The 13,955-nt window shown below is 38.9% G+C and overlaps 1 protein-coding gene across 7 annotated transcripts in view, besides 1 other annotated feature; it reads right to left on the bottom strand.

The window, feature by feature from the left end:
* The window catches only part of RNF150 (ring finger protein 150), a 353,094-nt gene that overhangs the window by 13,028 nt on the left and 326,111 nt on the right, over positions 1-13,955 (bottom strand). The window lies entirely within an intron of this gene.
* Positions 11,661-11,955: a silencer, noted in NCBI's record as "tiled region #7410; HepG2 Repressive non-DNase unmatched - State 12:CtcfO". NCBI's record gives its function as "represses a minimal TATA promoter and a strong SV40 promoter by Sharpr-MPRA in HepG2 cells {active_cell/tissue: HepG2}" and the evidence as "EXISTENCE:reporter gene assay evidence [ECO:0000049][PMID:27701403]".

Consider the following 13,955-nt stretch of genomic DNA (forward strand, 5'->3'; position numbering starts at 1 on the left):
TGATGTGGAGTTGGCAGCTAGATACTTGAGTCTGGAGTTTAGAGGAGAGGCCATGACTCTCAATACATTTGGAAGTCTTCAGTACAGAGAAGGTATTTTAAACCACAGAAGAGATGAGAGGTTTTTGTTTTTGTTTTTGTTTTAATAGGAAGTGATTGTAGCATGAGAAGATAAGGCCAGGGACAGAACTTGAAGAAACCCAAACACCTAGAGCAAAAGACCCAAACTGGTGACCCTTGATGCTGTTTTGTTTGGCCTGGACAATGTTTTGTTTTGTTTCAAATGTGAATTAGTTACCAATATTTGCAAGTCAGGACATTTCACATACAAATTTATATTTGAAATTTGTCTTCGAAAAAGGAAGATACGGTAATACCTGTCTGATTCCCAGATGGACACCACTGGTGGGAGCTGAGAAAGAGCTGTGCCATTAGCCCAAGGAACACAGGCTCCAGGTCATCACAGTCACCAAATGGGCTAAATCAGTGGTTCACACTGCTTGCCTGGCCTGTGCAGACATTTATTTGAGTCTGAAATCTCATAGGAGGAGAGCAGAAGAACAGCAGAGGAAGGTAATCCCCCCAAAGAGCCTGAAAATTGCCCCCAAAGAGCCTGAAAACTGGAAGAATATAGTGTCATTGATTCATTTCCTCATTTTCCTTTAAATATACTCCTTCATCTTTTATAAATAAAATCCATACCCAAGGAAAAGAGAGACTATAGTATTACTGGATTGGCTGGGGTGGACTTAAAGACTGATCCCAAGTCATCTCATTCTCTGTCTTCAATCTTCTTATCACAATGTTACAGAGTGTCTGATTAGATGGAGCAGAAAATACTGTATTTTATTTTTTTATTTTTGAGACAGGGTCTCTCTCTGTTGCCCAAGCTGAGTGCAGTGGCATGATCTCAGCTCAGTGCACCCTCTGCCTCACAGCTCAAGCCATCCTCCCACCTCAGTCTCCCAAGTAGCTGGGACCACATACGTGTCCCACCACGCCCAGCTAATTTTTGCATTTTTTGTAGAGACAGGGTTTCGTTGTTGCCCAGGCTGGTGTTGAACTCCTGGGCTCAAGCAATCCTCCTGCCTTGCCCTGCTGGGATTACAGGCATGAGCCACCATGCCCGGCCTATTCTATTTTAAATGGAGCTTTGTGACCTACTTTGTTCTCAAAACTATTGCTTTAATATATTTCCACTTTAATTCTGAGTAAAATCCATCAGTAGCCTAAACTGTGGTTAACCAAATAATTCTCAGTGGTGGGGTTTATTAATTCCATTTAGTCCATAAATTATTGATATCTTTGGTTTATCTCTTTCCTCTTAAATACATAAAATGTTACCTAAAGACTCACAAGTTTCCCTTTGTGACACAGGCATTGCAGTTGTAGTTCTGCTGTGGTTTTGATATGATTGTCGATAACAGTGGGCCCCATGACTCTTCAAGTTCTTTCCAACCCTGAGAAGACAAGACTCTGAAACCTGCCCTGTTCAGTGCTGGGTATATCCAGGGCCTTTATCAATTTCCTGGCTCAAGCTCATTCCATTATCAATGTTCCCATGTCAGGATCCTGCTGCATTTCTTCATAAAGAGGAGGCACTTGGTAAATATTTCTAGAATTGAGATAAAATTGTAGTTGCTTTCTGGCCACATAGGAAAGTTTTTTATTTTAAGAACTAATAACAGTATTAATGCTTACTGAGTACTTAGTCCATGCCAAGAACTATGCTTTATTTTTTTGAGACTGGGTTTCGCTCTCTCGCCCAGGCTGGAGCTTAGTGGTGCAATCACAGCTCACTGGAGTTTTACTCTGCCACCTAGGCTGGAATGCAGTGGCACAGTCTCGGCTCATGGCAGCCTCTGCCTCCTGGGTTCAAGCGATTCTTCTGCCTCAGCCTCCTGAATAGCCGGGACTACAGGCATCTGCCACGACACCTGTGCAGCCTCTATCTTGAGCAATTCTCCTGCCTCAGTCTGTTGAGTAGCTGATTTTATTTTATTTTTTTTAAAGTAGAAACAAGATCTCACTATGTTGACTGGGCTGGTCTTGAACTTCTGATCTCAAGGAATCCTGCCTCCTTGGCCTCCCAAAATGCTGGGATTACAGACATAAGCCACCATGCCCAGCCTATGCTAAGTTCTTTAAATAATTTAATATTCTTAATTAACTATGACATGGAAAGTATTACTATTTCCATTTTCAGGTAATAAAACCAAGGCTCAAAAAGGTTTAAAATTCCACAGCTTACATAATAGTAAGAGTTGGAAACAGAATTCAAATCCTGGTTTTATCTGACTCCAGAGTCCATGAACTTGACAATCATTACGTTTTTTTTTTTTTTTTTTGGTGAGTGACAGGGTCTTGCTCTATCACCCAGGCTGGAGTGCAGTGGGGTGATCATAGTTCACTCCAACCTTGAACTCCTGGGCTCAAGCAAGCTTCTCACTTCAGCCTTCTAAGTAGCTGGGGCTACCTATTGGCATGCACCACCCATATCTGGCTAATTAAAATATTTTTTTTCATACAGATGGAGTCTCACGATGTTGCCCAGGCTGGCTTTGAATTCCTGGCTTCAAGCCATCCTCCCACCTTGGTCTCCAAAGCACCAGGATTACAGGGGTGAGCCACCATACCTGGCCCATAATCTGTTCTTGAGTTGAGATTCTTAACTTAAGGATTAGTGATTTGCAGGGTGGGGCTGGGGGATTAGGCATTTAAAATTACATACACACATTTATAGCTACATATAGGCCTTTTCCTGGTAGTTTTCATCAGATTCTCAAACTCACGAAAGGCTAAGAACCGTTCACTTAAATGATTTTGCATCCCTGGTGAGTTGGATAACACATTACAGTAAGCAACAGAATGGCTTGGTTTTGTTTGTGTTTTTTTTTAATGCATATTTTGGTTTACATTCCACTAGCTATGTGTTCTATTAACTTGACATGATAGTTTTCACATGAAGTCACTGCTTTCCTACTTAATTGTTTCTTTATGGTGGTTATTCAAAGCTAAAGCAGAAAACTATCCTTCCCTGAATGAGGTTTATTTACTCACTCTACTGCCTGTCTTATGAAAGAAGGCACAGACCAGTAGCAGGCTGGCATAAGTCCTCCTCTGTTAGGAATTAACAAACATTGCCCTCAGAATAAGTGCTCTCTGTTTTGAGAGAAAATAAGGTGGTGGTTAATATAATCCCCCAGGTGGCCTATTCTCCAGGAGGTCTGGTGTTTGCATGCTGGGAGTTGCTCTGCATTACACAAAAGCTTATTTTTCCTCATGTACTTGAAAAGTAAGGTTTCAAAGAAAAATGGCATCCTTCTGTCCACTGCTGCTGATGCTTATCTTCTTGAAAATAGGGCATAATTTCCAATCAACCCTGTATTGTACAAGAGCACTATAGGGAAGGCACTTTCAACCACATTGGTTGAATTATAATGTTGCTGTCTTTTCATCTCAGAATGTGAAACTCCCTTCAGGCTGGGGCAGTGTCTATATAGCCTGTCATTATGTTAGTGGGAAAGTTAATTAGACTTTAAATGCAGCGTGTTTGCAATAAGGAAATGTGTTCCTTTGAATTCTTTGCCTTAGCAAGAATTTCTAAGGAGATAAACTACTTCCCACTTGGTTTATGTTTTCCCATTTATGAGTGGCCTCTGATGTGAGAATGGCAAGGTCTCTGGACCGCTTTCCTCAGAGGGTATGCAATAGGGTGGATACTAATAGCTAGGATAGACTGGCTCCTTCCTACATGCCAGGCATTTTGCTATGCCATTAAATATATCACACGTCACCCTCACAATAATACCGCTATGATGGCTTCACATGTTATAGGTGAGGGTGAGCACATAGAAGATGGAAGAAGTGGGATCTCAACCCAAGTCAGTGAAATTGACAGTTGTACTATTCTGGAATGGCAGAGCTACTAGAGTTCTATTTGGCTGCTATGTTGCTCTTACAGACAAGACTCAGCCACATTTGGAAACCCAGCAGGCTTATGATACAAATTCATCCATTTGGCCAAGTGACTTCTAGAATTGTTCAGATATAACTGACAGTTTTGCCTTTTCAATTCCTGTTCCATAATTGCAAATATATACATCTTGCGGTCAAATTAGGAAAATTCTTTCTCACCTTTCAGATGGGGAAGTTTAAAACATTGTTTTCATTTGGATTTGGTGAAGGAGAATTCCCTGTATATTAAATTAGAAGCCTGTATATTAAATTAGATCACATAGTTAGGATTTCACTTTGCTTTTATCTCTTTGCTGTTGGTTTTCTTTCCCTGTGACACTTCATCTAGCAGGGGAAAGATTTTCTCCAACTGCTCAAATTCCTTACTGATTTCCTTGGCAGTTCATTCATTGAGTCATTCCTTGCTAAGTGCCAAAAGAAGAGGCAAAGTGATTTTTACATTAGTTTTACATTTGTTTTTGCAGGGAAGGAGACAAAATCTAGTGCACATTGTGTTGTCAACAGTTTTTTTTTACAATGCCCAATTAGTACCACCTATTGAGAACCTTAAACATTAAGCATAATATCTGGTAGATGAAAGACTTTTGATGAATGTAAATATGATTGGTATGAAAAAGGAGTGTAAAAGAGAAAGTTGCCAAATGGATTTAGAGAGATAGGCAGAGTTCATACATATTTATCCATTTCTGCAACCGTATAAAATTATCTATAGACCCCATTTATTCATTCAACAATTCACTTAATCTTTATTCAACAGATGTTTATTGAACATGTATTAGGTACACAGCACTGCTGATGAGCAGTGTGGAGAAAAGAAAGATGACCTAAATACAGGCTCTGACTTTAAGCTGAATTTGATCTACTAAAAGAGATCAGATTTGTATCCATAGAAATGTAATACAAGGTGACATATGCTAAAAGAGAGGTGTAAATAAAATGTTAAGGAAACAAAGGTGTGGGGAAAATATCACCTCTAAGTGGGTAACCAAGAGGATTCATGAAGTAGGTTACATGTAGGCTGGCAGTGAGGATCTAATTAGTATTGGGAAGTATGGAGGTAAGGGGAAATGGAATTCCTTCCAGAAGGGCCAGCATGACTATAGCAATCATCAAAGCAAATTTCAAGGCATGTGGATGGTTTGACTTGCCTGTGGCTTAGTGTATGAAGGATGTGGAATGGTTCAGACAGGTCACTGTGGCTCCTGAAGTGTTGGCTGTGGTTTCAATGAGATCAGAGGGAGAAAGATTCTCTATATCCCCATCAACACTTACTATTTTGTGTTTATTTTTAAATTTTATTTATTTATTTTTAATATTAGTCATCCTAACAGGTTAAGGTGATATCTCATTGTGTTTTTTTTTTTTTTTTTTTTTCAACAGAATCTTGTTTTATCACCCAGGCTGGAGTGCAGTGGCACAATCTTGGCTTACCTCACTCAACCTTTGCCTCCCAGGCTCAAGCAATTCTTGTGCCTCAGCCTCCTGAGTAGCTGGGATTACAGGTATGCACCACCATGCCCAGCTAATTTTTGTACTTGTAGTAGAGATGGGGTTTTACCATATCAGCCAGGCTGATCTCAACCTCCTGGTCTCAAGTTGATTCACCTGCCCTTGGCCTCCCAAAGTGCTGGGATTACAGGCGTAAACCACTGTGCCTGGCCTCATTGTGGTTTTGATTCACATTTCCCTGATGATCGGTGATGTTAAGTATCTTTTTTATGCTTGTTGGCCATTTGTACTTCTTCTTAGGAAAATTATCTATTCAAGTCCTTTGCCTATTTTTCAATAGGGTTATTTATTCTGTAATTTGAGTTGTAGGAGTTCTTTGTGTATCCTGGATATTAACACCTTATCAAATATATGGTTTGCAAATATTTTCTCTCATTCTGTAGCTTGTCTTTTCACTCTGTTGACTGTTTACTGTGCAGAAGATTTTAGTGTAATGTAGTCCAATTTGTCTATTTTTGTTTTTGTTGCCTGTGCATTTGGTGTCATTTCCAAGAAATCCTTACCAAATACAATGCCATGAAGCTTTCCCCCTCCTGTTTTCCTCTAGGAGTTTTACAGTTTCAGGTCTTAGATTTAGGTATTTAATTCAGTTTGAGTGATTTTTTTGTATGCTTACGCTCTAAGATAAGGGTCCAATTACTTTCTTTTGCAATGTGGACCTCCACTTTTCTCCACACCATTTTTTGACACTATCCTTCCACCACTATGTAGTCTTGGCTCACTGTTGAGGATTATTTGACCATATACATGAGGATCTCTATTCTGTTTTATTGGTCTACATGTCTGTCTTTATGCCAGTACCATATTGTTTTGATTACCATCACTCTGTAATATGTTTTGAAATTAGGAAGTGTGAGGCCTTCAATTTTGTTCTTCTTTCTCATGATTGTTTTGGCTATTTGGAGTAAATATGAGTTTTAGGACTGTTTTTCTGTTTCCACACAAAAAAAATGCCATTGGGATTTTGATAAAGATTCCATTGAATTTACAGATTGCTTTGGGTAGTATGGACATTTTAACAACATTGTCTTCCAATCCGTGAACATGTGATATCTTTCCATTTATTTATGTCTTAACTTTTTTAAGCAATGTTTTAAGTTTTCAGTGTACAAGTCTTTCACCTTGTTCATTAAGTTTATTCCTAAGTATTTTACTTTTTTGATGCTATCATAAATGGAACTGTTTTCTTAATTTCCTTTCATATTGTTACTGTTCAGAAATTCAACTAATCTTTTATGTTAATTTTGTACCCTGCACTTTGGGAGGCTGAGGCAGAAGGATCACTTGAGTCCAGGAGTTCAAGACCAGCCTGGGCAACATAGCAAGATCATGTCTCTACAGATGAAAAAAAACTAGCCTGGCATGGTGGCACATGTCTGTGGACCCAGCTATTTGGGAGGCTAAGCTGGCAGGATTACTTGAGCCCAGGTTGAGGCTCCAGTGAGCTGTGATTGTGCCATTGTACTCCATCCTGTGTGGCAGAGCAAAATCCTGTCTCAAAAAGAAAAAAAAAATTTGCACCTAGAAACTTTGACTTTGCTGAATAGTTTATTAGTTTTAAGAGCATTTGAAATGTGGAATCTTTAAAGTTTTCTACATATAAGATCATGTCATTTTGTGAACAGAGATAATTTTATTTCCTCCTTTCCAAATTGGATGCTTTTTATATATTTTTTTCTTTCCTAATTGCTCTGACTAGGACTTCCAGTACTGTGTTTAATAGAAGTGGTAAGAGTGAGCATTCTTGTCTTGTTCCTGATCTTGGAAGAAAGCTTTCAGTTTTTCACCATCTAGAATGATGTTAGCTATAGACTTTTCATACTTGACCTTTCTTATGTTGAGGGAATTCTTTTATTCCTAGTTTGTTGAATATTTTTATTATAAAAGCATGTTGAATTTTTTCAAATGCATTTTCTGCATCAGTTGAGATAATCATGTGATTTTCATTCTTTGTTCTGTTAATGTGGTGTATTACACTGACTGATTTTTTTTTGTATACTGAATCATCCTTGCATTCCAGGGATAAATCCCACTTGGTCATGGTATATAATCTTTTAATGTACTGTTTAAATTGATTTCCTCATATTTTGTCAAAGATTTTTGCATCAATATTTATTGGTTATATTGGTCTGTAATTTTCTTTTCTTGTAGTATCTTTGTCTGGATTTGGTATTATGGTAATACAGGCCTCATAAAATAGTTTAGAAGTGTCCCCTCCTCTCCAGTCTTTTTTTTTTTTGGAAGAGTTTGAGAAGAACTGTCATAAATTCTTTTTTAAATGTTTGGGATAATTCTCCAGTAAAGCCATCTGGTCCTGGGTTTTTTTTTGTTTGTTTGTTTGTTTGTTTGTTTTAAACAAAAGGTCTTTTTATTACTGGTTCAATCACCTTACTAGTGATAGGTTGGTTGAAATTTCCTATTTCTTCATGATTCAGTCATAACAGATTGCATTTGTCTAGGAATTTCTACATTTATACATTTCTTCTAGGTTATTCACAGTAGTCTCATAATATTTTTTATTTCTTTGGCATTAGTTGTAATGTCTCCTCTTTAATGTCTAACTATTTATTCAAGTCTTCTCTTTATTTTAATTAGTCTAGCTAAGGATCTGTCAATTTGGTTGATCCTTTCAAAACACAAATTCTAAGTTTGGTTGCTTTATTCCATTGTCTTTCTATTCTCTATTTCATTTATATCTGCTCTAATCTTTATTATTCCCTTGAAATTCTGCTAATTTTGAATTTGGTTTGTTTTCTTTTCTCTAGTTCCTTGAGGTATAAAGTTTGGTTCTTTGAGATCTTTCTTTTTTAATGTAGTCATTTATTGATATAAACTTTCCTTTGTACTTTTTTTTTTTTTTAAGACAAGGTCTAGCTGTATGGCACAGGCTGGAATGCAGTGGCATGATCTTGGCTCACTGCAGCCTCCACCTCCTGGGCTCAAGCCATCCTCACACTTCAGCCTCTCAAGTAGCTGGGACTAGAGGCATACATTATCACATCTGGATAATTTTTGTATTTTTTTGTAGAAATGAGGTTTCACCATTTTGCCCAGGCTGGTCTCAAACTTGTGAGCTCAAGGGATCCATCTGCCTCAGCCTCCCAATCTGCTGGGATTACAAGCATGAGCCACCACACCTGGCCCCTTTGTACTTCTTTTGTTGCCTCCCATAAGTCTTGGTACATTACCTTTTTGTTTTCATTTGTCTCAAGACGTTTTCCAGTTTATCTTGTGATTTCTTCTTTGACCCACTGGTTATACAAGAGAGTGTTGGTTGGGCATGGGGGCTCATGCCTGTAAACTCAGTCCTTTGGGAGGCCAAGGTGGGAGGATTGCTTGAACCCAGGAGTTTGAGACCAGGCTGGGCAACATAATGAGACTATGTCTCTATGAAAAACCAAACAAAGCAAAAGAGCCAAGTGTAGTGACATGTACCTGCAGTCCCAGCTACTCAGGAGGTTGAGGTGGGAGGATATCATGAGCCCAGGAGTTTCAGGCTGCAGTGAGCTATGATCATGTCACTGCATTCTAGGCTGGGTGACAAAGCAAGACTCCATCTCTTTAAAAAAAGAGGATGTTGTTTAATTTCTACATTTTGATGAGCTTTCCAGTTTGCTATTGATTTCTGGTTTCATTTCACTGTGGTTGGAAAAGATATTTCGTATGATTTCAATCTTCTTAATTTTCTTTATTTTTAATTTTTTTATTTTTATTTTTGAGATGGAGTCTTGCTCTGTCGCCCAGGCTGGAGTGCAGTGGTGCAATCTCGGCTCACTGCAAGCTCCACCTCCCAGGTTCACGCCATTCTTCTGCCTCAGCCTCCTGAGTAGCTGGGACTACAGGCACCCGCCACTACGCCCGGCTAATTTTTTGTATTTTTAGTAGAGACGGGGTTTCACCATGTTAGCCAGGATGGTCTCGATCTGCTGACCTCGTGATCCACCCGCCTCGGCCTCCCAGAGTGCTGGGATTACAGGTGTGAGCCACTCAATCTTCTTAAATTTCTTAAGACTTGTTTTGTGGCCTAACATGTGATCTATCCTTGAGAATGTTTCATGTGCATTTGAGAAAAATGTGTATTCTGCTACTGTTGGGTGGAGTGTCCTGTATATGTCTGTTTGATCCAACTGATCTATAGTGTTGCTCTATTCTACTTATGCCTATTGTTCTCAGTCTGGTTTTCTATCTATTTTTGAAAATGGGGTATTGAAATCTCTTACTCTTATTGTGTTACTATTTTCCCTTTAAATTCTGTACATGTTTACTTCATATATTTGGGTGCTCTGTTAGGTAAATATATATTAATAATTGTTATATCTTTCTGAATAATTAACCTTTTAATCATTATATAATGACATTCTTTGTCTCTTGTGACAGTTGTTTACTTAGTCTAATTTTTTCTGATATGAGCACCTCTGTTCTCTCTGGTTACCATTTACATGGAACATCTTTTTTCATCTTTTCCCTTTAGCTCAGGTATGTCCTTAAATCTAAAGTGACTGCCTTGTAGACGGCATATAGTTACCTTTTGTTTTTCATTTATTTAGTCTTTTGATCTGAGAGTTTATTCACAGTTAAAGTAATTACTGATAGGGAAGTACTTATTATTTTCATTTTATCATTTTCTATGTTGTAGTTATCTCTCTTTTTCCCTCTCTTGCTGCCTTCTTGTTAGTTTTGTTCATTTTTTTTTGTAGTGCTATATACTTTGATTTGTTTCTCATTTATCTTTTGTGTACTTTTTTGAGTATTTTCTTTGTGGTTACTATAGAGATGACATAAAACATGTCAGAGTTATAATAATCTATTTTAAGCAGATAATGCCACATATAAAAACTCTACTCTTATATATTCCCTTCTACACTAAGTTACTGATGTTATAAATTATATCTTTAGTATATTTTACATCCATTAAAGTAGTTTTTTTCACCTTTGTCCTTTAAATTCTATACCAGAATTAAAAGTGATTTATGTACCACCATTACAGTATTTATGCACCACCCTATCACAGTATTGTGTATTTGTCTACATATTTACTTTTGCCACTGAGCTTCATGGTGCCGTAAGCTTTTGTGTTACTATCTAATGTTCTTTTGTTTCAACTTAAAGAACTCACTTTAGCATTTCTTGTAAGGCAGGTCTAGTGATGACAAACTCTCTCAGCTTTTGTTAATCTGGGCAAGTCTTTATTTCCCCTTCAGTTTTGAGGACAGTTTTTCAGTATATAGTATTTTTGGTTGACATTTTTTTCCCTTTTTCTCAGTACTTTAAATATATCATCTCACTCTTTTCTAGCCTATAAGGTTTCTGCTAAGAAATCTGCTGATAATCATATGTAAGCTCCCTTGTGTGTGATAAGCTAATTTTTTCTTGCTGCTTTCAAGATTCTATCTCTGTCTTTGACTTTGGACAATTTGATTGTAATGTGTCTCAGTGTAGACCTCTTTAGGTTTACCATATTTAGAGCTCACTGAACTTCTTGAATTTAGATGTTCATATCTTTCCTTAGATTTGGGAAGCTTTCAGCCATTATGCCTTTGAAGAAGCTCTTTGACCCTTTCTCTCTCCCTTTTTCTTTTAGAACTCTCATGATGCACATATTTGTCCACCTGATGGTACAGCATAAGTCCCTTAGGCTTTCTTTATTGTACTTCACTTTTTTTTTTTGCTCTTATGACTTGATAATTTCAAGTGACTTTTCCTCAAGTTCACTGATTCTTCCTTCTGTTTAATCAAGTCTGCTGTTAATCTCCCTCAGTAAAATTTTCAATTCAGTTACTGTAGTCTTCAACTCTTGAATTTCTGTTTGTTTCTTCTTCATAGTTTTTCTTTGTTGATATTCTCATTTTATTCATACATCATTTTCCTAATTATATCCAGCTGTCTATCTGTGCTCTCCTTTAATTCATTGGGCATCTTTAAGATGATTCTTTTGAAACGATTTATCTGATAATTCATATATCTCCATTTTTTAGGGGTAATTTCTGGATATTTAATTTGTTCGTTTGATTGGGCCATATTTTCCTGTTTCTTTGTACTCCTTTTCATGCTTTGTTGGGACTTCAGTATTTGAATTATCTGCCACTTCTCCCAGTCTTTGCAGTCTGGTTTCATACAGGTACAGGTAGTTCGCCAACCAGCCCAGCTAGAGATTCTGGAGATCTCTCAGGCCTTTTCTGAGGATGTGTGCTTTCTGGGTTTTTGTATGTAATCTAATTGCAGAGGTTTGCCAGTTTTACTCAGAAGCTTCCCCAGTGTCTGCATCACTGAAGCCTTTCTGGTGCTTTGTAGCAAGCTGTGGTACTGGAGCTCCCCCTTGTGTTTATGTTTGAGACACGTGCTCAACCAAGTCCTCTTCATCACTTTTGTTTTTTTTGGCCCCCTGACCTGCTGCCTTGTTCCTGTCTGTGCTTAGATTTCGGGAAGACAGAAGCCAGTCCCTTAGGTAACACCCCCTCCAAAAGTCAGAATATTAGACATCCCACTTTACAATCATTTTTCTCTTTCTCTGCTTGAGAAGAACTCTGAGTTGGGAGTTTTCTCCAATGGCACCATGCTATACTAGAGGGGAGGGGCTCTGGTGAATGAGTGGGTTCCATGAATTTTCCTCCTGGGCTTCCAAGCACTTGGCTTTGTCCTTGCCTGGAGTGCAGGAACTTCTTAACTTGTTTCTGTTATTTCTTCCAAAGACAATTGGTCTATACACATTTCTTAAGTCCGTTGGTATCTCCATGGAGGAAGGAGGATCTGGGGCTTTCTATTATGCCATCTTCCTCCTGTCACTTCCAAACAGTTTTTTTCAACATGGCTGTACTGTTTTTCCATCTCTACAAGCAGTGTACAAGAGTTTTAGTTTCTCTACATTTTTTCCAACATCAGTCTTTTTTTTTTTTTTTTTGAGACAGAGGCTTGCTCTGTCGCCCAGGCTGGAGTGCAGTGGTGTGACCTCAGCTCACTGCAACCTCTGCCTCCCAGGTTCAAGCAATTCTCCTGCCTCAGCCTCCCAAGTGGCTGGGATTACAGGTGCGTGCCATCACACCCAGCTAATTTATATATATATTATATATAATATATTATAAAAGAGTACATATATTTTATATATATGTACATATATCTTTTTTTTTTTTTTTTTTGAGACGGAGTTTTGCTCTTGTTGCCCAGGCTGGAGTGCAGTGGTGCGATCTCGGCTCACTGCAACCACTGCCTCCCGGGTTCAAGCGATTTTCCTGCCTCAGTCTCTCGAGTAGCTGGGATTACAGGCATGCACCACTATGCCCGGCTAGTTTTGTATTTTTAGTAGAGACGGGGTTTCTCCATGTTGGTCAGGCTGGTCTTGAACTCCTGACCTCAGGTGATCTGCCCACCTCGGCCTCCCAGGTTCAAGCAATTCTCCTGCCTCAGCCTCCCACATAGCTGGGATTACAGGTGCATACCATCATGCCCAGCCAATTTTTATACTTTTAGTAGAGATGGGATTTTTGCCATGTTGGCCAGGCTGGTCTCAAACTCCTGACCTCAAGGGATCCGCCTGCCTCAGCCTTCCAAAGTGCTGGGATTACAGGCGTAAGCCACAGCACCTAGCTTGAGCTTCTTTTTATATATGTTCTAAGAAGTATGTACATCTCTTTGGGAGGCCGAGATGGGTGGATCACGAGGTCAGGAGATCGAGACCATCCTGGCTAACATAGTGAAACCCTGTCTCTACTGAAAATACAAAAAAATTAGCCGGGCGTGGTGGCAGGCGCCTGTAGTCCCAGCTACTCGGGAGGCTGAGGCAGGAGAATGGTGTGAACCCAGGAGGTGGAGCTTGCAGTGAGCCGGGATAGCGCCACTGCGCTCCAGCCTGGGCAACAGAGGGCGACTCCATCACAAAAAAAAAAAAAAAAAAAAAGAAAAGTATGTACATCTATTTTGGAAAGTGAATGTTCAAGTCAATGTTAGCTTTTACTTATTTGCTTTTACTCCACATTTTTCCAGAATAGAGGAGTGTGCATACAAGTGTGTATGTGGTTGTGTTCAGCTGAGTGGAGTGGGTAGTAGTGAAAAACAGGAAATAAATAAGAAAAGCTGAACTAGGCATCCCACAATGCTCCACTAGTGACATAAGGCAGGTCACCCACATGCTTTGCCCATTTTTAAATTGGGTTGTTTGTCTTCTTACTGAGTTGTATGTTCTGAATGCAAATTCTTTATATGTTCTGAATGCAAATTCTTTGTTAGACATAGGTATTGCAAATATTTTCTCTCAGCTTGAGGCCTGACTTTTCATTTTCTTAAAGATGTCCTTAAAGGAACAAAAGTTTTATTTATTTATTTTTAGACAGTCTCACTCTGTTGACCATACTGGAGTGCAGCAACACAATCTTGGCTTATTGCAGCCTCGACACCCTGGACTCCAGCAATCCCCCTCTACCTCAGCCTCCCTGGTAGCTGGGACTACAGGTGCGTACCACCACAGCTAGCTAATTT

The sequence above is a fragment of the Homo sapiens genome, chromosome 4, assembly GCF_000001405.40.
Source record: "Homo sapiens chromosome 4, GRCh38.p14 Primary Assembly".
Classification (NCBI taxonomy): domain Eukaryota; kingdom Metazoa; phylum Chordata; class Mammalia; order Primates; family Hominidae; genus Homo; species Homo sapiens.